The sequence below is a fragment of the Homo sapiens genome, chromosome 7 (genome assembly GCF_000001405.40).
Source record: "Homo sapiens chromosome 7, GRCh38.p14 Primary Assembly".
NCBI classification, from domain to species: Eukaryota; Metazoa; Chordata; class Mammalia; order Primates; family Hominidae; genus Homo; species Homo sapiens.
The window spans coordinates 122,443,214-122,468,038 of record NC_000007.14 but is presented as its reverse complement, the minus strand read 5'-3'; the positions used below and the strand labels follow the sequence as shown (position 1 = coordinate 122,468,038).

The following is a 24,825-nucleotide window of genomic DNA, read 5'->3' as shown; positions in this document are numbered from 1 at the left end:
GAGTGTTTCAGAAATAAAAGAATAGAGTTAAACAGAAAAGGTCTGGCTGGTACTAAGACTGAGGAAGAGAGAGAAAAAGAAAGGAAGAAAGAAAAAGTGAGTCAAGGACAGAAACAGACCCACTCATGCAGGATGATAGCCACACACATCTCTGAATAACACAACCACTCATTCAGCCATAGTGCCGCTGAGGACTGACAGGAAGGAGAAAAGAGGCTTTCAGAGACAATGCTTCATAGGGCAAAGTTCTAGGTTGATATGTGTGGTTATACGTCTTGGTTTTGTAAGTCAGGCTGAGGGTGGAGAAACTGAAGCAGCAACACAAAATGGCTTTTATGTCCCAATTTAATGTAAGGCATACAGTGTATTCACTGACTCCTCTACAGTTTTCTAGGGCTGTCTTAGAGCTGCTGCATGCCTGACAAACGCCAGCTCAGATGTGCTTGCTTTCAAGTACAGGGCACAAGAGTACAACATGACTGTAGTTTTATATATAAAATAATCTCAATTTTCTATGGATTCCAGATTATATCACAAAGTTGTTAAGTAACCTTAATGGGCATCAGTCAAATCATCATATCATAATACCTCTGTCTTCACAGGTGCTAACATTTCCCCTTGACTGTCACTTCAGAAATTATGCCTCAAACTTCCAATCTGTAATTTTAGAGACAGTGTGCATTTTTTGAGAAACAACGTAGATAATTGCATCACGTAGGATCATCAAAAGTGTTCACTTAATTCTAGTTTTAGATATGTGACTATATAGAAATTAAGTATAAATGACACACACGTTGTAAATGGAGAGACTCACTTTTGGGGCAGGTGAGCAACCAGATGAAAGGTCATAAGCAAGGTTATCCTTAGGTAATGTACCTGATCTGACAGGTTTTATGCCATGTGCTAAATGTGCAAAGGCAGAAGGGATGGGTATTGGGGAGTATATTTCAAATATTACTGGAGGAGTTTTTTTATTTTATCAAAAACTGTAGAACAACCCTAAATCTACCTTAAGCAGACTTTCCTAGCAATATTTATACTCACCCAACCTCAAGTTCAATACTGAAGCAAGATAATTGTGCCTTTCAAAACAAAACAGACAAAACCAGAGAAAAAGAAAAGGGGAAGGGAAAGACTTGGTGTGTTGGAAATATCTCTGAGTGAGGAATCAGAGCATCTGTATTCCTGTTCTGGCTCCTCTACTGATGAACTACTTAACTTTGAGCAAATGGTTTTAATCTGTCTGAGCCTCAGCTTCTCCATGTGTACCTTGTGAGTAATAACATTAATGCTACCTACTCAATATGGTTCCTAAATAGGTCAAATAAAATTCTGTAAGTACTTTTTAAACGATGAAATATTGCTTAAATAGCATGTAGTAATTTTTTTATGCAGTGTATTAGTTAAATGAGCTTTTGGGGATTGTTCTGTGAAACACTGCAGTACTCAGGTGAATTTTGTTATGACAACATACCACAAACAGGTTTCAATCAGGAGAATGAGACTGGAAGAGCACTGAGTCAGTGCCTCACCTCATCTCCTATCCGTGGTCATGGGGAAAAGCTGTGCTGAAGTTCTGGGACCTCCCCGCCTACCACCCCCATGTTGCTGGAAAACACTGTGGCCCCAGAGGGGAGTGGCAAAGACAGCGAAAAGCAGGAGCCTAGAACCCCGTCATCCAGGATAAGTATGTAGACAGACTGCAATTTGGGAAATAGTTGCTAAGGCCACCTAATTAATTTCCTCTGTCTTCCTTCCACACCTTCCATTCAAACTGTGCAACTCCTGGATCTTTGTGAGATATTAAATAAAACAGCCTGCTGAAGGTCTGAGGAAGAGACAAGGCAAAGGAAATTTTTTAGTATATATTAGACTATATCACATTAACCATGAACAGAAACAAGGGTTACACCTTGACATAGCTTTTCTTAAACTTCATACCTTTAGAGCCTTCTTCTCGTCAATAGTTAGGTATAGGACAAAGTTTTTGGGTCTTAAGTTGGATCTTCTTATCATTTTTAACACAGTAAGTTTTTCAAAAACAGTATGTAATGTTGTATGTAGAAACAATCAAAGAAAGCTCTATATGTACATAGGTGTTATTTACCACTACCATTGCCGTCCCAGTTTGATATTTGTAGATCTATGTTGACGTACAAAATTGGCTTGTTATTTTACTTTCTCATACTGGTTTTATCAGGATTGGGTATCTAGGTTACTGTAGCCACACAAAATGAACTGGGGAGCTTTCCCACTTGCTCTGTATAAGACTTGAATGGCTTTTTGTAGTTTACCAGTATCTCATCTTTTAAACCAGTGGTCCTCAACCTTTTTGGCACCAGCGACCGGTTTCATAGAAGGTAAATTTTTCATGGATGGGGTGGAACGGTAGGATGGGGATGGTTTTGGGATGAAACTGTTCCACCTCAGATCATCAGGCATTACTTAGATTCTCATAAGCAGCACATAACTTGTATGCACAGTTCACGATAGGGTTCAGGTTCCTGTGAGAACCTAATGCCGACACTGATCTGACAGGAGGTGGAAGTCAGGCAGTACTCGCTTGCCTGCCGCTCACCTCCTGCTGTATGGCCCAGTTCCAAACAGGCCATGGATTGGTACCAGTCCACAGCCCGGGTATTGGGGACCCCTGTTTTAAACCATCTGGGCTTGGGAATTTATTTGTGGAAAGATTTTTAACTGTTGTAGTTTATGTTGTAGCTACAGAAATTCTCAGGCTTTCTATTTATTCTTGAGTCAGTTTGGGCAAGTTATGATTTTCTGGGAAATGGTAGATTTCATTTAAGTTATTAAATGTATTGATATTAAGTTATTCAAGTTGTTTTCTTTGTATTTTTTGCTCGATCTACAATTCTTCCCTTCCTCAGTCTAATATTGTTCATTTTTACCTTCTCTCTCTTTTTTTCTCTTAATCCATCAAGTTTATTGGTCTTTTCAAAGGAGCAACTTTTGGCTTTGTTGAACTCTATTGTTTCTTTTTTAGATATACTTTTTATTTTACGATAATTTTAGATTACAGAAAAGTTACTAAAAGAGTGCATAGAGTTTTCGTATTTCCGTTTCCCTTAATGTTATTGTCATACATTTGTCAAAACTAAGAAATCAACGTTGGCACACTAGTATTAACTGAACACCAGTCCTTATTCAGATTTCACCAGTTTTTTAAATTAATGTCCTTTTTTCTGCTCCAAGATTCAATTCAGGGTACCAAGTTGCACTTAATTGTCATGATTGTAGCAGTTTCTTAGGGATTTTTTTGTCTGTTTTTTGTGACCTTGACAGTTTTGAGGAGTACTAGTCAAGTGTTTTATCAAATGTCTCTCAGTTTGGGTTTGTCTGACATTTTCATGATTAGCCTGAGATTATGAGTTTTTGTAAAGAGATGAAATACCCTTCTCATCACATTCTATCAGGGAGTACATAATATCCGCGTGACATCCTGGTAGTATTTGTCACATTTCTCTACTGTAAAGATGTCATTTTTATTTTTTTATACTCTAGTTTGAAGAAAATAGCTAAGTCCAATAAAACACACTGAAGAGGAGACAGGAAATAAACCCCAACTCCTAGAAGGAGAACTATCTGCATACGTTATTCAGAATTCTTCTGTAAGGAATATATGTCTCTTCTTTCCAATTTATTTATTTAACCATTTGTTTATATCCGTATAGATTCATGTGCAGTTGCTTTATACCTTGGGTTACAATCTAATAATATCTAAATTACTTTGTTGCTCAGATTGTTCCTGCTGTAGCTATTGAAAGCTCTTTTATACTGGCTCCCTTTGATATGCCCCACTCATTTGGTTTTTGAGCACTTTCTTAGTTTCTGGCAATCTGACATGCTGCAAGCTCATCTTTTATTTTCCCTACTCTAGCCTAAGAATTAATCAGTTCTCCAAGGAGCTCTGGTTTTGTTATTGTTGTTGTTTGTTTGTTTGTTTTTTAGAGAATGGTATTTAGAAACCAAGATCTAGGTGACATGTGTGTTTATTTCTGCTGGAAAAATCATAGCTTCCAGGCCCTCTCAGTTGGACAGAGCTAGGTGATATATGATGTGTACTAAACCATGAGTTCATACTGACGTCTCCAACTGGAATCTAGGACATCAACATTCATTTCAGCATGCTTTTCTTCCTTATCTTTAACTTATCTTTTCAACAGTGAGAAATCTTACTTCCACCATCCATTTACAAAATTGTTCAACCCCTGAACTTCATGCAAAGCAGTTTTGGAATTCACCAACTAGGCTATAGTACTTGTCTACAAAACCTTTCAGTTTCCAGTCAAAATACTGTTTGCCAAAGATGAATAGGAAAGCAGCTTTTTCTCCCACCCTCCTTAGTGAGGTTATGTCATCTTTCCTAACTTCTTATGTTAGATGTGTAACTCACTACTTGCCAGCTTTTCTTCTTTTCTAAGAGTTTAGGGCTGTAACTTCCCCCACTAAATTCTGTTTTTACTACATATAGAAATGTCTTATGTACTATTTAATTAAAATTGATTCTAAGTAATTTTAACTTTTCATAATTTATTGACACAAGGTTATTTATAAGTACGTTTTAAAATATCTTGGGAGGTTGAGGCAGGAGAATGGCATGAACCTGGGAGGTGGAGCTTGCAGTGAGCCGAGATCATGCCATTGCACTCCAGCCTGGGCAACAGAGCGAGACTCCACCTCAAAAAAAAAAAAATCTAAGAATATGAAGATTTTTGGTTATTTTCTTGAGAACTGATTTCTTACCTAATTCCTTTGTGTTCAGAGAATGTGATCTGTGTGATACCAATTCTTTATCACTTGTTGAGATTTCCTTTGTGGCCAAATATGTGTCAAATATTATAAATGTTTTCTGTCACTTAAAAAAAAATATATGTATTCTTTAGGCAGTGCAAACAGGATTTGTGTGGTTAAGATCTTCTAAAGTCTTACTAATTCTTGCCTGTTTGATCTGTGGGGTTATGACCAACGTGAGTGGTGATTTACCACTGTCATGGTGGTTTTTGCTCTCTATTTCTGTAAATTTTTGCTTTGTATATTTTGAAGCTGGTTTTTGAGGAGTTGCTTTTTGTTGGGACAAAATCTCATTATGTCACACAGGTTGGTCTCAAACTCCTGGGCTCAAGTGATCTTCCTCCTTGGCCTCCCAAATTGCTGGGATGACAGGTATGAGCCACTGTGCCTGGCCCAAGGCTGTTCTGTGTTCAAGCTTAAGATTGTTAGATATTCCTGGTAGATGAACATTGTTATCATCATTTGGTGATGATCATCATAACTAATAATGATTTTTGCATGATATGTAGGTGATTATTAATGTAGCTTTCTTTTGATGAGTGTTTATCTGATGCATGTTCACATCGTTAGCCTTTCTATATTCTTGTACTTTAGTGTTTTATAAATAGCAAACTAGATTTTGATTTAATTTTTCAATATGACTATTTCTGTCCTTTAATTAGTTTGGTCCATTTACATTTATCATGTAATTGATAAAAGTAAATCACATATTAATAAAAGTAAATCACATGTTAATAAAAGTAAATCCATTTCTACCATTTTATTTTAAGCTTTCTTTTTTGGCTCATGTTCTATAAACTTTTTATTGGTATACTTTTTGTTTCATTGAAGTTATTTTCTTTAATTCTTTTTTTTTCTCTTAACAGTTTATATTTTCCAACAATTACATTTGAGATTTACCAGGCATGTTGCTGAAATTTTAAAGTCTTATGCTAATTAACAAATTTCTCCTCCTAGGTAGTTCAGAGTCCTTAGAATATTACCCTCCAGTCACCCCCTTTCTGGCTTACATACTTAAATTCTGTGGTATTTTAGTTATATCCTTTTTTCCTAAGCTTATAAATTAATATTATCTTTCTTATTTTGTACTTCGTATTTGCTTAGATTTAGAAACAATTTTCCTTTTTTCTGAAGAATGTTCTTTGGACTTTCCTATAAATGGACTCTTATACACTGTGAATTGTTATTGGGAATTTCTTTTGTTTCATCCTATTTTTTCAAAGAAAGTTTTGCTAGGTGTACAGTGCTAGGTTGATGGTTATTTTCTCTTAGAACTTTGAAGACATTCATTTTCTTCTGATTTTCTTTGTTGCCATTAAGAAGGCTCTTGGCAGGCCAGGCGAGGTGGCTCACACCTTTAATCCCAGCACTCTGGGAGGCCGAGGCGGGTGGATCACCAGGTCAGCAATTTGAGACCAGCCTGGCCAATATGTTGAAACCCCCTCTCTACTGAAAAATGCAAAAATTAGCCAGGCATGGTGCCACGCACCTGTCGTCCCAGCTACTTGGGAGGCTGAGGCAGGAGAATCACTGGAACCTGAGAGGCAGAGGTTGCAGTGAGCCGAGATGGCGCCACTACACTCCAGCCTGGTGACAGAGCGAGACTCCATCTTAAAAAACAAAACAAAACAACAACAAAAAAGGCTCTTGGCAGTACAAATGCTAGTCTTTTGAGGATGATTCCTCTTTTTCCTCTGGATGCTTTTTTTAAAAAAAGATTCTTTTGTTCTTTTGTGTTTTGTAAGTACACTGTAAGGTTTCTTTGTATGGATTTCTTTTAATTTATTGTGATTGGGACATATATGAATTTCTAATCTACCTGCCATGATATTGTATAGGTGTGCATTTCTTTTTATTTACCCTGATTGGAATATAAAGATTTATATTTGTCATCAGTTCTGGAATAGCATTATCTCTTTAAATATTGTCTCTTCTACAATCTTTTTCTTCTCATCTGAAGCTCCAATTACCCATGTACTAGGCATTTTATCTTCTATATCTTTTAATGTCTCTAAAATGTATTCTATCTACGTATTTTTCCAGCTGCATCCTGTGTAATGTTTTCAATTCTGTCTTCCAGTTGAGGAATTGGCTGCTATTGTGAAGGGCTCTACAGTAAACATGACAACTATTTTGGGCTTTGTAACTATACAAAATCTTGTAACTATTTTTGACCATGTAGTCTCTGTTACAACTATACAACTCCGCCATTGCTGTGCAGAAGCAGTCATGGACAATATAGAAATGAATTAGTGTGGCTTGTCCCAACAAAATTATATTGACAAAAGCAGATGAAAGGCCGTAGTTTGCCAACCCTTACTCTATTTCTTCAGTTCTCTCTTCAGCTCTGACATCTACTGTTTCACTCACTTATTGATTTATTAATTTCAGTTAACAAATTATTTAGTCCTGGAAATTCTGTTATTCTGTTTGATTCTTTTTGAGCTCTGCTTGATTACTTCTGAATATCTTTTTCCTTTCTTGGTTTGATTCCATTTTTTGTTTCCTTAGATCTTTTATAATTATTTCATATTATCTTTCAAATAACTGAATTTTCTATTGTTTCTGCCGACATTTTTGCCATGGTCACTTGTTTATTATTTTTTAATGCAATTAGCATTTTTTTGTAATAAACATTTATACTTAAGATTAATATGTGGGAATTCTTAAAAGTCCTGGGCTCTGAATGCTTCCCTCTAAAGAGGACTTGTTCTTGTTTTTCCTTGATGTTAGGGAGTGCACTATCCTTTCACTGATACTATAACCCATTCTAGGGTCCCATTTTTATGCAGGTGTCTCAGGCTTAGCAGCTCATCCAAATTAGGTCTATGGCTCAGTGATCCATTCCCTTGGATGCAGCTGTAAAGCTTTCTCAGTATTGATATTTACCACCAAGACAGCCATGTTGTTCATATTTGCCCCTTCTTTGCTTTCATCAGGTTCATTTGTTTTGTTCTCCCACCCTTGGGAGAATTATTTTACTTTCTAGTAAGAGCTGGACAACATTTAATATATAATTGTTGTGGCTTATGCAGTATTTAGGTGTTTTGTAGTGAATAAGGATTTGGGGAGTATCAAGTTAGTCCACCATACTGCAAGCAGAAGTCACATGAAAAAATTTGCATTTAAAAAATTATTTGGACATCTCTATGGCGAACATCCTGGGCCTCTCCTCAAACTGCCTTCTGCTTCAGGTTTCACCTAAATGACTGCTGCTCATTCATCACATTTCAGGTTAAATATCATTTCCAAACTGAATCCTTCTCTGACACTCCAAACTAGATCAGATGTTTATACTTTTGCCCTTCTTAAATGTAATTGTATACTTATTGTCTAATTTTTATTTTGTATGCATTTTCCCACTATAAACTCTATTGGGGCAGAAACCATTTCTGTTGTGCTTACATTGTGTCCCATGACCTGACCAAGTGGTCCATAAATATTGATTGAGTAAATAATTGAATGACATTGGGCCATCTGTTTACAAATTTTATAGGTGATATATTATGGACCTTCTTAAGTAAGTTTAAAATTAAATGTTTTTAAATTAATCAACTGCAATTATTTTTATGGCACATGATAAAGGCCCTACATAATCAGCAAGATAGCATCATTTTCCATCATAGAAATTAATATATTAAAATAGATCCCCTTTTTAGTATATAAAATTGAAAATGATTATAACAAAGGATAAAGACTACAGTTGGTGAGGTTGCAGGAAAATTAATAATTTCATGCACTGCAGGCCAGAGTGTAAGCTGATAAGTGCTTTCTAAAAAACCAACTTTGCAATATGTATCGAATACTTGAAAATATCGTGCATTTAACCTAGCAATATACCTTTGGGAATTTTTCTTAAGAAAACATTTGGATATGGGTTAAACATATATAGTATAAGATTAATTATTGAAGCACTATCTATGATAGCAAAAAATGGAGGAAAAATGCCTACATTTCTAAATAATGGATAATTGGATTAATTATGGCACATCCATATATTGAAATATAATTATTTCATTATAAATTAGAATATTTAAATTATATTTTAAAAGCTTACAGTTCGTTAAAACAATCAAATTATGAATCAGAATGTATAATACATCTATAGAGTTAGAGAAATAAATTATAATTATATTTACAAACTAGTATTTCAGTTATTTCTGGTTGGCATATTTATAGGAAATTTTCATTTTGGTCTTTATTTTTCAAATTTCTCTTCTCATAGTATGATATATATGAAGTCCTTTAGTTACAATATATGTTGTTTTTTAAAAATATTAGTTATAGGGCAGAGGGTGATATTTATATCAGAGAACCTCTATACCAACCTTAATTCTCTTTACTTTTATTTTAAATTGCTCTTGGTATTTCTTTCTCTTGAATTCTGGAATTATATACAGCAGTGATTTCAGTTTGGATTAGTCCAAGAAAGTTTTCTTATTTGTTTGTTTGGTCCCAGGAGAGGCCAGTTATCAATTATGTTTTGGTCCTTGGCCTATTCACCAGCACCCTAACACAAAAACGAAGTAATATGATCTTAGATCTTTATAGAGTCAGATGATTGCTTTCACCATAGTGGTATCTACCCTTTTTAAAATAAACATCCAAGGAAATTAGAATGCAGTGCAAAATCCAGACAAGGAAGGGGGGAGTGTTTGCAAAAAGATAAGAACATATTTCAGAATTTCATCTTTTAAAATATTTTTTCATAGAAAATCTGTTTTTTATATCTCAATGATCATATAAAGACACAATTAATTTCTTCTGGATATTTAAAATTAGAGGGGAAGTAAAAGGACACTGAGTGTGTAATATATGACCATCCAAGTAATACATCATTTGATTCAAACAATAGGAGGTATTATAGGTTAGGAAATAAAAAAGAAGGGATTATTGTTTTCTTCCTCATCATCTTTTATCATTTCTTATTCTCGTGCTGTGACATCCTCTCCTTTCCATTCTGTTCACAAATGGATATTGGTGGGAAATACACGAAGTGCAAAGTGACTTTTACCTGCTGTGCTGCAGGCAGAATTGACAATTCAGAAATACCACCCTCTAGGTGTCTCTCCCCTTCTCACTTTCCCTAGAGGAAGCTAAGATGTCATGCATTCCTCATTCCTCGTAGCAGAAGCAGGTGAAAAGAAGCCTATAAGTAACTCAAAAGCACCATGAACTTTGTCATTTGCTCATGCATTGCTTGTGAAATAATCTTTTACAACAAACCACCAGATTTCCAGGACAAACTTACCTGATGAGTTGGAGATGGGGTGGGGGAGCATTTAATTTAATTTAATGTCTTATTAATTTAACCACACTTCACTATACAGTGTTAACCCTGGTGTCTTTATTCAATCCACAAGCTTGCTAAGTACTGTAAACCAGGCAATGTGCAGAGTCCTAGAGATTATAAAGCCTAGGGATTATAAACACATTTATCCCTCACATATCTAAAAGCTGTGCAGGTGATAAAAGTGATTGAAAAAATAACTCTAGAAGATGGTATAGTTTTCATTAAGTAATAGAACGGATGCTCGTCAGCACTAAATAATGAATTTTCAGGAGGAATGTGGGCAGATGTGACTAAATAATTCTGGAAGTGCTATTTATACAAAGTTAAACAGATTTCTTTACTATCAGGCTTCTCAGACCCCTTCATATGCTGTGATTGTTCTGTGAACCTCCAAAAGGGTTGCGTAATTTGCATTGTTTACAAAATATTTGGGCATCCCTGAGGGTCATTGTTCCTTACAATGTGTTTTGGAAAATGTTGACAGCCATTAATTCATCTTTACTCAAATGTACTCCAAAGGAATGGATATTAAACATGTCAAAATTAGTTTTTATTGGTGTTACAAACCCCTGAAATTTTTTATTATACTGGAAAAGGGATCTATAAAATGTGTGAACACAAACTGTTCAAACAAGGGAAGTAAAGCACTAGGTTTGCACAGATCTGAATATTTAAGCAGTCTTCCTCATTGATATTTTCTCTTCTGCTCAAATGCCTGATTCTACAGCCCAGTTTTGTACCCTTTTTCTCTTAGATATTTCTTACCCTATAGTGTAGTTGTTCTTTACCTTTATAGAAACTAAATTTTTAGTTTGTTTTACCACAGAAATCATCCGAAATAATAGAAAATGGATTAGGATGAGTAATGCTGTTTACTCCTCTCATTCCTGACTTTTAGTTTAAAAATACCTTTTTCAATTTAGAGCTCACGTCACACTTGTTACAGGAGGAATTGATAATCATGACGGGATGTTCAATGTATATAAAAGAGTTTTTGCGTTTGTTTTAGAATGCAGTAATCTGCCAGATTGATGAATAGCACAAATTACAAGATTGCTTAGCTCATGGAGAAATTTAAGAAAATATGTATATAGAGGCCTTATCAACTATTTTTTGGATGAATCTGCCTTTCAAAAAGTGTTGTCTGTGTTTGTGTGCACACGTGTGTATGCAGCTTGCAGGGGGATGTACATGTGTGTGATGGCTTCTCTGAAAACAGAGTGTGACCCACAGGCAGACGTTAAGATCAGGCCTCAGTGGCAGAAGGTTCTGTTGTACAAATTCTGTTTTTTAAGAACCTTTGAAATAAATTAACACACAACTGCACTTGGTGTTCACTTGCTTATTGTTTAAGACCAGATAGAAGTTTTATGTCATAACTTTTTTGACTTTATCTGTAATTAAAAGAAGTGTATCTATTTTAATCTGTTTTATAATTTTTTCATATATTAAGCCTTTTTCACAGAGCACCCTATTTTTATTGAAATCATGTAACTTCAATAACTACAGGCCCCAGAAAAAAATGAGAATATTAAATATTGATACATAAGACTACCCTTTCTTCTCATCAGAACCACTTTAATATTTAATTATCGTCATAGAGTTAAGTCCCACTTAACATTCAAATGAGAAAATTTGTCTTTTATGTTCGAATTTTAAATAACCACATTTTAACAGAATCTTTATCAATGTCAAAGCAGGATTATTATGTTTATTTATATCTAAGGAGAAAAATTCTATTCTTAAGATTTAAAGTAAATTATTTTATTATTAATTAAAATAAAATTAAACACTAAAGATTTTCTGCTAAGTGTGAATACATACTAACTTTAGAGATCTTTTTACCAGTGTACTTAACTACAGTTCCTGCTTCTGTTTGCTTTTCACAAAATTTTCTGTTTTACCAACTATCATATAATAAAAATGTTCCAAGCTGGGCATGGTGGCTCTTTCCTGTAATCCCAGCACTTTGGGAGGCTGAGGAGGGTGGATCACCTGAGGCCAGGAGTTCGAGACCAGCCTGGCCAACTTGAAACCTCATCTCTACTAAAAATACAAAATTAGCCAGGTGTGGTGGTGCACACCTGTAATCCCAGCCACTTGGGAGGCTGAGGCAGGAGAATCGCTTGAACCCAGGAGGTGGAGTTTGCAGTGAGCTGAAATTGTGCCACTGCACTCCAGCCTGGGTGACAGAGGGAGACTCCATCTGAAAAATAAAAAATAAATAAAAATGTTCCAAATAATTTATACCCTGTTAATTCTAATAAGCAGTAATAATAATTTGTCATATTACTAATTCATGAATTCTTATCATCTTAAGTAATATTTTTATATTGCATATATTACTCATTCATTTCCTCAGCATATATGCATTAAATATCAACAATATGCCATCTGGTGTTCTAGCACTAGAGATACATTACAAAGGAAGCAAACAGTAACCAAATAGGTAAATATATCATGTTAGATGGCAGCCATATGTACAGTGGCCATCAATAAAACATTTTTATTAAATATTATTATTTAATAAATATTATTATTAAAAAATAGAAAGGTCTATGGGAATGGGAAATACACTTTCATGTAGGATGGTTGGAGATAACCTCACTAATGCTGAGTCATGTAAGTAGAGACCAGAAGAAAGTGAGCAAGCAAGCCAGGTGTGCATGTGTGCATATATGATTTTGTGTACATGTAGAGAAAGCACTCTCAGGCAGAAGCAGCAGCACTTGCAAAGGCCTTGAGCCTGGAGCTTGCTTCCTGTGTTTGAGGACTAGTTAGGAGGCCAGCATGGCTTGAGTGGAGGGGAGCAGGGCAAGTGAGGGGGTAGATAAGGTCAGATTGTGGGAAGCGGGGCTCATACATCATTATAAAGGCTTTGGCTTTTACCTTGTGTGCCACCATTACAGGAATTGAGTCAAGGAATACTGTCATAATGACTGATGGTTGAAGAGGCTCGGAGTAGTGTGTGGCCAGTTCTCTGACAAAGAAAGCGCTGGAGGAGAAAGACCAAGAGGCTGCCTGCGTACTCAGGGATAAGCAGATAGTGGCTGGGATCAGTGGATCAGTGGTGGATATGGTGAGGGAAGGTCACATTCTGGGTGTGTTTTGAAGGTAGAGCTGGCAGGAATGAATTTATAAACTGAGCTTATATAAATGATAATTTTTAAATCTCGAATACTCTGAGTCTATTAAACAAACATTCATAAAATATAACTGGTTTAAATTTCTCTCAAGGCTTTTGTAAAAACATACTTTAGAATGTATGAAAGAGCAAGGTTTAGGACTTCCTTTCTTACGGTCTTCTTTAACTGACTTGCTGATTCAATGGTAAGCATTATATTTTAAATGTCATTGGTTTTTAACGTCTCCACCTTAGACAAGTCAGATAGAAAATGTCTAATGTAAGGGTATTCAAAATACTCCATTATTGCTTTTCAAATATAACTTTCATGGTTTCATTGGGTTTCTATTGCTCGTTATTATTTTCTATCAAAATATAGCAGGAAGAGAGTAAGGGTAAGAGCATCGTCTTTGGAGGGCAAGAGACCTAGGTTCAAGTCCAGGCTCCTGCATTTCCCAGCGGTGTGACCTTGGGAATTAACCTAACTGCCCTGAGCCTCAGCAGCCTTCTCTTTTGGAAAGGAGACAGGATTGTTGTGAGCTTTATATGTTATTCTGCATATAAGATAGCCAGTACAAAATACCAGACACGTATTTAAAATTCTATAAGTGCTCATCATTATGTTTGTTTTAATAATTACAGTGACAAGATGTTGATGACACGGAAAGTATTTGCACTTATCGGGAAGAATTATTGTAGGAGGAACTGTTGCCTTTAGAGTTGACTACTGCAAAGTTACCATTTATTACCAATAATTTAGATATAGAAGGCTGCTTCTTATGCCTAATATTCAGTAGTTAATCTTGTATATATTCTAAAATAAGGATGTGTAAAGGCAAGTCCAAATTGCTAAACGTGGTATTTAACTGTCAGATTTGTACCTAATTTAGTGATAAACTCAGTAAAATGGTGGTCCTTCACTCTGTATAACATTCTTTTCTTAGCGAAGGTTGACACAAGCGAGCTTCCCCTGACTTACCTTTCTCACTTGTCATCACCTGACCCCCTGGCTCCATTCTGTCAAGCAGACAGTGGGCCTCAGTGAAATCTAATATGATAGGACAACTTACAGTATCACTGTGGATGACAATCTCATTTGACAGTTGAACAAAATAGAAAAGTTTACTCCTATTTAACCACATAGCATCTGCCAGGTAGCTAAGCCAAAAGATTATGTCAAATCAGCAGAATGATGAAGATAAGTTATTTGCTCTTTTTATCAATTTGCCTAGGGATATTCAGTGAAATAATCACCCATAACTTTATGGTATGAGTTTTCATTGTTGTCTACATGATAATGTAATTTAGGTATAGTTTTTGTCTGAATACCCAAATTCCAAATTAATGATTTATATAGAACTTCCCAGTTGAGCTTTTGTGATCATTGTCAATGCATAATTATTCATAGGTTTCAGTTTGTGTTTTGTATTAACATTCGCTCAATGGGAATTGATTCTAAAGTAATATGTGAAAAATCCATTATTAAATAAATATAAAATATTAGTATTAGCTCATGGTGCACTGCTTTGTAATTTATGCGTTAGACTTTTCCTCCTTCCTAAAAATACTTGAGAGACTAATATTTGGCCATTAATTTTTCCATAGTTAACATTCAAAATGCATTCAGATGGAATAAATGTGGTCGATATATTATTTTGCATATGAAATTAAGTAATGTTTCCCTATTTAGGAATAAAAAATTGTAAGAAATGTTTTCAAAGCATAAATTCCAGCAGCACATGAGTCTCTGAAGTAAAAATTATGTACTCTATATTGGAAAAAAAATCTCATACTTAAATGATACTTTGATTTGACTGAAAGGTCATTATGTCAGTATAATTCAGGTATAAGTTTAAAATTAATTGCTTTCATCCTAATTGACTAGTTAACAAGCATCAAACATATATACACACACACATACATATGATTATATGTATATAGAGAGGAACAAATAAAAATCTTGTTAGGAAAGTTATTTTAAGCATTTATTTTTCTTTGTTTTCAATAATTCCTGTTTCTACCTATTTTATATATAACCATTAAAATTAGTACATTGGAATGATAAATGCACAAGTCTTTGGGAATTAAAATATAATCTTTAGAGAAATAAGCTAAGCTGGGCACGGTGGCTCACCCCTGTAATCCCAGCTCTTTGGGAGGCCAAGGCGGGCAGATCACTTGAGGTCAGGAGTTCCAGACCAGCCTGAACAACATGGTGAAACCCCATCTCTACTAAAAATACAAAAATTAGCCAAGCATAGTGACAGGTGCCTGTAATCCCAGCTGCTCAGGAGGCTGAGGCAGGAGAATTGCTTGAATCCAGGAGGCGGAGGTTGCACTGAGCCAAGATCGTGCCATTGCACTGCAGCCTGGGCAACAAGAGCAAAACTGTCTCAGAAACTAAATGAACAAATAAACTAATTAGGTAGGAAATGATTCTTGTTAATTATCAAGTGCAAAAGGTTTATTTTGTTATTAAAATATATAAACAGGTTTTGAAGTGAATATGAGATTCATACTTTTTTTCCCTCTGCACTAACAAGACAGTTAAGATTTATATGTTCAAAATTTTAGATGATTGCCGTACAACCGGATACCTAAATTGATACAGAATAAATTCTAAATTTCTGTTATTTGATATATTTTACATTTTTAATCCTAATCTTAGTAAAATAAGATTTATTTTCAGTCTTCATAGCTACTTTGTAAAATTCTGATGAAACTCACATTGATTTCACAGGAATATTTAAACACAAAAATCTTGAAAAGAAACATAGCTTGCTCTCTTCCCTGTATATTTTAATTCTAATATTTATTCATATGCCCTGTATTTAAGCAAACAAAAAGAGGTCAGTGAACTTCTACATGTATCAAAAATTTCTATGTTTCTTATGACAATTAAATCTCCAGTTCTGTGTTAGCTGAATTATTATTTGGAAGAGAACCAGTTAAGACATTTTACCTTACGTTCATTATTTTTTAATAATATTTTCATTCAGGGGATTTCACTTAGTTGGTCAAATGTTTGGTACTACTATAAAACACTTTTCACTGCCATTTTCAAGGACTAGTCATTGTTTTCGGTAGATCTGGAAAATATTTATTATAATCTTTTACCTTGAAGGCTGTCTAAAAGAGAATAATTCCATTCCATTCATTCTGGGTCAAAATATAAAGCAAATGGCTGCAAATATTTCCAGTAAATTTCCACTGTAAACACAATTAATATGTATACAGTGAACTTTTCCTTGGATTTTTAAATATACATATGTATAAAATATATAAAAGTAAATGTTCGATCAATATGAATTATTGATTCTGATTTTTTTTTCAGGCCTGATGGAATTGGGACTGTTTCAGTGGAAGAAAAAGAAAGATTTGAGGAGATAAAAGAGAGACTCTCTTCCCTTTTAGAAAATCAGATAAGCCATTTCAGGTATATATTTTTTTATTAATATAAATATTTCTTTTCATACTTTACTCAACCCTTACTTCCCCCAAAAATTGTTTATTATATCATTCTACTAGCGCTCAAGATCATCAGTAGCCCTCCCTTGCCTGCAGGGTAAGGTTCACATTCTTCAGTCTGTGGTCTGCTTCTCAGCGTATCATTCAGTCTCCTGTATTCATTTAGGCTAGCCATTCCCCCTACAATATCCGTTCCACTGCACCTCTTACTTGCCTTTTGCATTTCTCATTCTTGCATAGTCTCTTCCCCCTAGCTCTGGTGACTGTTCCTCCTGCTCTCTGTATTACCAGGTAAGGAGCCCTCAAGTCTCACCTCCACAGTGGGGCCTTTCTCAGTTATTCCAGCAGAGAGTATTCTGAAGTCTTTGAGCATTTATTGTCTGTAGTATTGTCTTGTCACTTGTAACCCACATGGCTTTAAAGTCATTAGTTATCTTTTTACTTACATTCTCTGAGAACACAGGTCACAGCACCTAGCACCATTCCTTGCTCAAAAAATTAGCTATCAGCCAGTCACAGAGTCTCATGCCTGTAATCCCAACACTTTGGGAGGCCATGTGGGTTTGATCACTTGAGACCAGGAGTTCAAGACCAGACAGGGCAAAATGGTGAAACCCCATCTCTATAAAAAATACAAAACTTAACCAGCCAGACATGGTGGTGCATGTCTGTAGTCTCAGCTGCTCAGGAGGCAGAGGTGGGAGGATCACCTGATTCTGGGGAGGTCGAGGCTGCAGTGAGCTATGATCACACCACTGCACTCCAGCCTGGACGACAGCATGAGACCTTGTCTCAAAAAAAAAAAAAAAAAAAAAAAAAAGGCCACCAATACTAAGAAACATTTCAAACATTTACAGAGTAAAAGATAAATACCTTGATAATATTTCTTTTCTCCTGGTTATAGTTAGTTCAACAGAACTTAATAATTAAAAACAGAAATATGCTAACATATTTTCTTTTTCTCCCTTATTATTAGGCCTATAAAATGTCACCACATAATGTATTGTGTCTTATAACCTGTCTGCTATGTTGCATGCATGTGATTTGGAACTTATTTAAAAAATAAACTTAGTGAATATGCTCTTATTTTGCACTTATTTAAAAAATAAACGTAGTGAATATGCTCTTAATTTGCACTTATTTAAAAAATAAACTTAGTGAATATGTTCACAAAAATATTTTATTTAACCATATGAATGCTGTATGACCATGCTGAGACTCCGTTTCTTTATCTTCTTATTCTTCCTGATCTGTTATTGCCTCATTATTATTCTTTTTTGTTATGTTTCCTGATAATATAAAGGTCTTAGACTCTGTGATTTTTTTAAATGATATTGAAAGGAGAAAATCTCATAGTATATACTATAAATCTATTCCCCTACATTAGTGATTTTTCAACTGGGGCTAGTAGCAGTACCTTAGAGTAAGTGAATAAGGTATGATTTTCATTGTCATGATAACCAGGGGTAGGGAGTCATTTAGTGCTGGGTTTAAAAGTGCAGTACATGAGACAATCCCACAGTGGAGAAATATTCTGCCCAAAAAGGCCAGTAAATTTACATTAGGAAACACTGTTGTAGATAGCATAGCTGAATTCAACTTACAGAGTTAAGATTGAATTCTCTGCCTGAAATGATTTTGAGTTTACAAACAAAATGAAGACATAAAAAATTATTTTGCAGTTTTAGAGATGTGTTTCTGCATTTGCTGTTGTTGAAAGCATTGCCTTAACCAGGTGTGGTAGCTCAAACCTATAATCCCAGCACTTTAGGAGGGAAGGTTGCTTGAGCCCAGGAGTTCAAGACCAGCCTAGGCAACGTAGCGAGACCCCATCTCTACAAAAAAGAAAAACTAAAAAATTATCTGGGTGTGGTGGTGTGTGCCTGTGGTCCCAGCTACTCCAGAGGCTGATGTGGGAGGATCACTTGAGCCTGGGAAGTCAATGCTACAGTGAGCTCTGATTACACCACTGCACTCCAGCTTGGATGACAACACTCTGTCTCAAAAAAACAAAAACAAACAAAAAAAAGTGTTGTCTCCTAGGTTGTATAGAATCCTTTAAATGTATTTTATGTATCTTTCAATGAAAATCAGTGTAATTTCCCTCTTTTTTGCTACCGTTGAGACCCAGCCATCATTTTAGATATCTATATTAGTAACTGAATAAGTCCCCATTATTATATCAATGATTTCAACTGCAAGCAATAGAAATCCTGCCTCCAACTGTTTTAAACAATAAATAAATTTGCATGCTCACTTGCCTGCAGGTCTCGAGCAGGCAAGCTTTAAGACAAGCTTTATTCAGTAGCCACAGCTCTCTTTCTTTGTGATTCTCACATTGCTATTCTCTTTCATGGGATAGCTTCATCCCCAGACTAGTAGTAAGATAACATAATTTTTTTATTTTTTTTTTCTTTATCTCACACCTTAGCCGTTAAGCCTACAGAATTTCTTGGCCTCACATTCATACATGCCAGTGTTCAAAGGAAGTCGTAGAAGCTATATTTTTCTATAGTCTTCTCTTAAGATCATAAAAAGTTTCCTTAGAAGATCCTAGCAAAGTATTTTTTATATCTCATGAGCCTGGTTTTGAACCAAAACCAGTGGCCAGAGAAATTCTGTGCACGGGATGCCTCAATCAGTCACTGACATGGACATGGGATTGCTATATTGAGTTAGACTAATCAGAGCCACTCACCAAGGGACTTCAATTCCCCACACTACCACCCAAAAACTACAACTACATAGTAGTGGACAGGGATGTCCACGTCATTTATTGTATTCATTTTGTATTAGTATCGTTTTAGTTTCCTGTCCTCTCTTAAAGTTTTGTTTCTCTATTTCTCTTATACGCACATCATCTTTGGATAATTTCTCTAAATATGTACTATACAATCCTGATATGATTTGGTTCTGTGTCCCCACCCAAATCTTACCTTGAATTGTAATAATCCCCGTTTGTCAAGGGTGGGACCGGGTGGAGGTAATTGGATGGTAGGGGAGGTTTCCCCCATGCTGTTCTCATGATGATGAGCGAGTCTCATGAGAGCTGATGGTTTTATAAGTACATTTCATGAATTTTCAGAAACTTAAGGATTAAAAAATCCTAAGATCTTCCAGAAAGAGAAACCAGATTTTATACAATGAGTTAGAATGACTTCTCAACATTGATTTATTCTACAAATATTTATTGAGCTCCTACTTTGTGTCAGACAGTGAACAAAACTTTAAAAGATCCTTTTCTTCAACTTTCATTTTGATGTGAGGAGCAATACTGATATCTGGAAAACAGTAACTTCATAATTCTGAGAAACTATCATTTCCAACCTAGAATTCTATACCAGCAATAGTTTCTATTAACAGTGATGGTAGAATAATGATATTTTTAGACATGCACTAAAAAAAATGTTCCTTTTATATTCCCTTTGGTGAACTGTAGAATTTACCAAAACCAGGGGGAAACAAAGAGGATCTAAGATCCCTGAAACTGGCTGGGTGCAGTGGCTCACACTTGTAATCCCAACATTTTGGGAGACTGAGGTGGGTGACATACTTGAGGTTAGGAGTTTGAGACCAGCCTGGCCAACATGGTAAAACCCTGTTTCTACGAAAAATACAAAATTAGCTGGTCATGGTGGTGAGCTCCTGTAGTCCCGGTTACTTGGGAGGCTGAGTCATGAAAATTGCTTGAACCTAGGAGGCAGAGGCTGCAGTGAGCCGAGATCGCCTGACTGCACTCCAGCCTAGGTGATGGAGTGACACTGTGTCTCAAAAAAAAAAAAAAAAAAAAAAAAAAAATTCCCCGAAACAAGAAATCAACATGGGAGAGAGAAAGGTGTCCCTAGAGTGATGGTTAATTGAGACCCTCAAAGTGACAGTTGATTTTAGAGAGCAATCAGTTCTGACTGGAGCATGTCAGAAAATGCTTCAACGTAGATTAAATTGATAAAACATATTTTGACATGTTGAGATATTTGCCCACTTGGAATAGAGCTTGGAGTTGTATTAATTAGATTGTACTACTTTTACTAGAATTTGGAATTGTATTAGATTAAGTGTATAAAGAGAGGACATCAAAAACAAATATAAGTATGAATTATGAACAAACTATTGAGCAAGGCATGGAAAGTAATCATAGAAAATACTGTGTCTCAGTTGTCTAGAACATTCTCATAACTAATGTAATGTAGATACTGAATTTAGATCTAACCCCTGCAAAATGATGTTACTATATTAGAAGTAAGGAAGGGACAGGAATTTTGTTTATAGTGGGGGAATGTGGTCAAAAAAAAAAAAAAAAAAAAAAAAAAGAGGGAGCTACTTATGTCCAAGATGGAGCAGCAGGGGATTATATTTAGCCTCCCACCCAAAACAATTTAAAAAGGCCCCAAAAATGGGAAAAAATATTTTCAAGACATTAAACATAAAGCAATGAAAGTGATTCCTGAGAAATGGAAAAGAAATGAAGTAAGCCCTTTAGTTGCACCTGCTTACTGCCAGAAGAGCATTTCCAGGCCATGATCCAGAAAGGAGGAACCTAGGTAGAGCCTAGTGGACTCTCTGACTTGAAGAGGCAGAGCTGGAATTCCAGGGAGGCCAAGGTAGCCAGAGATTTCAGGTCAGAGGTCTAAAGGAGAGGAGAGAGCTACAGCTATTTGCAAATGATTCCCTGGAGTCTCCTGTTAAGTATTGATCATTTCATATATGTGAGGAAACTATCCAAAGTCTGGCAAAGAACCACAGGAAAGGCTTATGGGGGGAATCTCTAATGCTAACACACAGGACCAGGGGTAGTTCTAGTTTTCATTACCCAGAGTGGAAAACCAACTCATGGGTATCAGTAGAGTACTATAATCTATAGAGTACTCATTAGGTTTTGCTTCAGCCATGGGAAAAAAATTAACACAACTCTGATTCACCTAATGGGGATTAAAATCAAGATTCAAATAGGCCAAACTGTTTCCAGGTAATTTAAGAGCATTCCTGAATACAGAGATCAAGCATATTTAAAGGAATACAAAAATATCTAGACATCAACAAGACAAAACTATCTCCAGCATCTGGTGAAAAAATTTTAAGTATATAGAAAAATAGTAAAATATGATCAATGAAGAGGATTAAAAAGCCAACCAAGCAAAACTGAGAAGACACAAAATATAGAATTAGTAAACCAAATGTATTAGAAGGACTATTGTTACCATATGTTATATACAACCAGTTAAGGGCATGGATGGTAGACCTACGGCTAACATACTTAATGGTAAAAGACTGAATGTTTTCTACCTAAAATAAAAAGGCAAGGATGTCTGCTCTCACTTCTTATGTTCAAAATTGTCACAAATGGTCTAGGTAGTGCATTGATTCTGAAAAAAACAAATTTTTTGAAGTCATCCAAATTGGAAAGGAAGAAGCAAAACTATCTTTATTTGCAAGTAACATGATTATCTGAGTAGAAAATCTTACCGAATCTAAAAAATTCCACTCCAATATTTAAGTTGCAGAATCCTAGATGATTTTTTTGAGACAGGTTCTTACTCTGTCGCCCTGTCTCAGGGCTGGAGTGCAGAGGTGTGATCACTGCTCACTGCAGCCTCAACTTCCCAGGCTCAAGCGATCCTCCCACCTCAGCATCCCAAGTAGCTGGGACCACAGGCACATGCCACCATGCGCAGATAATATTTTCTTTTACAGAGATGGGATCTCCCTATGTTGCCCAGGGCTACTCTTAAATTCTTAGGCTCAAGAGATCTTCCTGCCTGGGCATCCCAAAATACTGGGATTACAGGCATGAGCCACCACACCCTGTGATAAATATATAAATATTAATATATTTCTATATACTGGCAACAATCAGAAATTGAAATTAAATAATATCATTTACAATAACAATAAAAAATATGAAATACTTTGGGATCAACCTGATGAAAGATGTGTAAAACATGTACACTGAATAGTATAAAGTATTGCTGAGAAAAATTAAAGAAAACCTAAATAGAAGGAGAGATACTGTACTCATGGGCCAGAAGACTCAATATTGTTGTCAATTCTCTCTAAATTGACCTATGGATCCAAGGCTATTTCAGTCAAAATCCCAGTATGATTGTTTTTTAGAAATTAACCTGATAATAGAATTTACATGTAAATGCAAAGAATTTACCATAGCAAAAATAACTTTTAAAAAGGACAACGTGGGAACATTAACACTGATTTCAAAATTTATAATGCTACAGTAATCAAGATAGTATGCTACTGAAAGTCCAAAAGTAGACTCACACACATATATGGTCTGTTGATTTTCAGTGAATGTTCAAGGGCAATTTGCAAAGTATACTTTTTTCCGACAGATGCTACCGGAACTATTGGATATTCAAATGCAAACTATTGACCTCAATTCATACCTCACCCATAATACAAAAGTTAACTCAAAATAGGTAGACCTAGAAAACTTGGGTGAAAAATCTGTGTCTTTGGGTTAGGCAAAGATTCTTAAATAAAACATAATCATAATTCATAAATGGAAAAAAATGTTACATTGAACTTCCTCAAAATTGAGAACTTTCGATCTTCCAAAGACATTGTTAGAATAAAAAGTTAAGTCGCAGAATAGGAGAAAGTATTTAGACGACACACATCCCACAGTAAACTTTTATTCAGAATATATAAAACTTTTAAAGTTTAATTATAAAATATTAACCCAATTTAAAAAATTGTTTTAACAGATACTTCACCAAAGGAATATTATACAAAAAGGCATATGGAAAGATGCTCAACGTCATTATTCAACAGGGAATTGCAATTTGAAACCATAGTTAGATACCACTGCATACTTAGTGGTATAGTTAAATTCCAAACAAAACAAAAACTGAACATAACAAGTGTTGACACAGTTGTGGAGAAACTGGAACTCTTATATGCTGTTGGTAGGAATATAAAATGCTACAACCTACTTTGGAAAATAACTTGGCAGATTCTTAAAAATTTAAACATTTATCATATGACCCAGCCATTCCATTCCTAGGTATTTTCCCAAGAGAAATGGAAGCATGTGTCCACACAGACTTTTATATGATTGCTCATACCAACATTATTCATAGTAGCCAAACTATGAAAGCCAAATGGCCATCAGCAAGGAATAGATACACAGTGTATGCCATGCAATGGAATACTACCCACCAATAAAAAGGAATGAACTCTTGATATATACAACAGCATGAATGAATATCAAGATAACTATGCTAAGTGAAAGAAATCAGACCCACAAAAGTAAATACTGTACATTTCCTCTTACTTAAAATTCTAGACATACAAACTAATCAAAATTATAGCAAGGAAATGAGTAGTTGCCTGTGATCTGGGGGGAAGACTTGCAGGCCATGAGTTAACTTGATTATAGTCACAAGTATATGCATATGTCAAAACTTAACCAAACCATATATTTTAAATATGTGCAGTTCCTGAAACAAATGAAGGCTACATACTTCTCTTCCGTAGTGGAAAGTTAGTAGGATAATATTTAAAATTGAAAAGTCAAGAAGTAAAAATATTAATGTACAATTGAAGGATATAAAGTTTAAATACCAAAAGAATCAGCTAAAAGTTGACAGCATTTTTTTTTTTTTTTTTTTTTTTTTGTAGAAAGCAGAAACTGGAACTGACATAAAGGATTTCTGGCTTTCATTTAAAAAAAAAAAAGATAAAAGAAGTTTCCTCTTTAAACTATGTGTATATATCACTTTGGTAAAAAAAAAAAATACTGTATTTAAAAATAGGGAACAAAAAGGGCTTAATTATAAGATAAATCTGTGCTGGTTTATTTATCTGTGCAATTAATTTGCCAAAATGGGAATAAGGTTGACTTCAGTTTATTCATGTTAGGTATATAATGTGGCTGAATTTTATTTGATAATTGAATGTTTTCCACTTTGCTTTGCTGTTATAGAGCTGCCAGAGTGGTAAAAACCCAAAATATTTAGCCTGAAAGGCAGAACAAAATGCTTCTCTTCTTTTAAAACTTGTTTTGTAAAGATTAATTAAGCTTCTATGTAGTTATTTTCTGTACTTTATTGATTCAGGATTACTTGTACTCCGTAAATGTGTTGAATTATTTACACATCATGGGCAGCTAATG

General features: G+C 35.2%; 1 protein-coding gene across 29 annotated transcripts in view, besides 1 other annotated feature; it reads left to right on the top strand.

The window, feature by feature from the left end:
• CADPS2 (calcium dependent secretion activator 2) overlaps positions 1–24,825 on the top strand; it is a 568,050-nt gene that overhangs the window by 418,422 nt on the left and 124,803 nt on the right. For all 29 annotated transcript variants that reach the window (NM_001363398.2, NM_001009571.4, XM_047421032.1 and 26 more), the window contains one exon: positions 16,564–16,665. In NM_001363398.2, coding sequence (NP_001350327.1) covers positions 16,564–16,665 — 102 coding nt within the window. The remainder of the gene's footprint in view (positions 1–16,563; positions 16,666–24,825) is intronic.
• Positions 18,463–19,220: an enhancer, noted in NCBI's record as "NANOG hESC enhancer chr7:122088873-122089630 (GRCh37/hg19 assembly coordinates)". NCBI's record gives its function as "activates a minimal SCP1, AML or CMV promoter by ChIP-STARR-seq in primed H9 embryonic stem cells {active_cell/tissue: H9 hESC(primed)}" and the evidence as "EXISTENCE:reporter gene assay evidence [ECO:0000049][PMID:30033119]".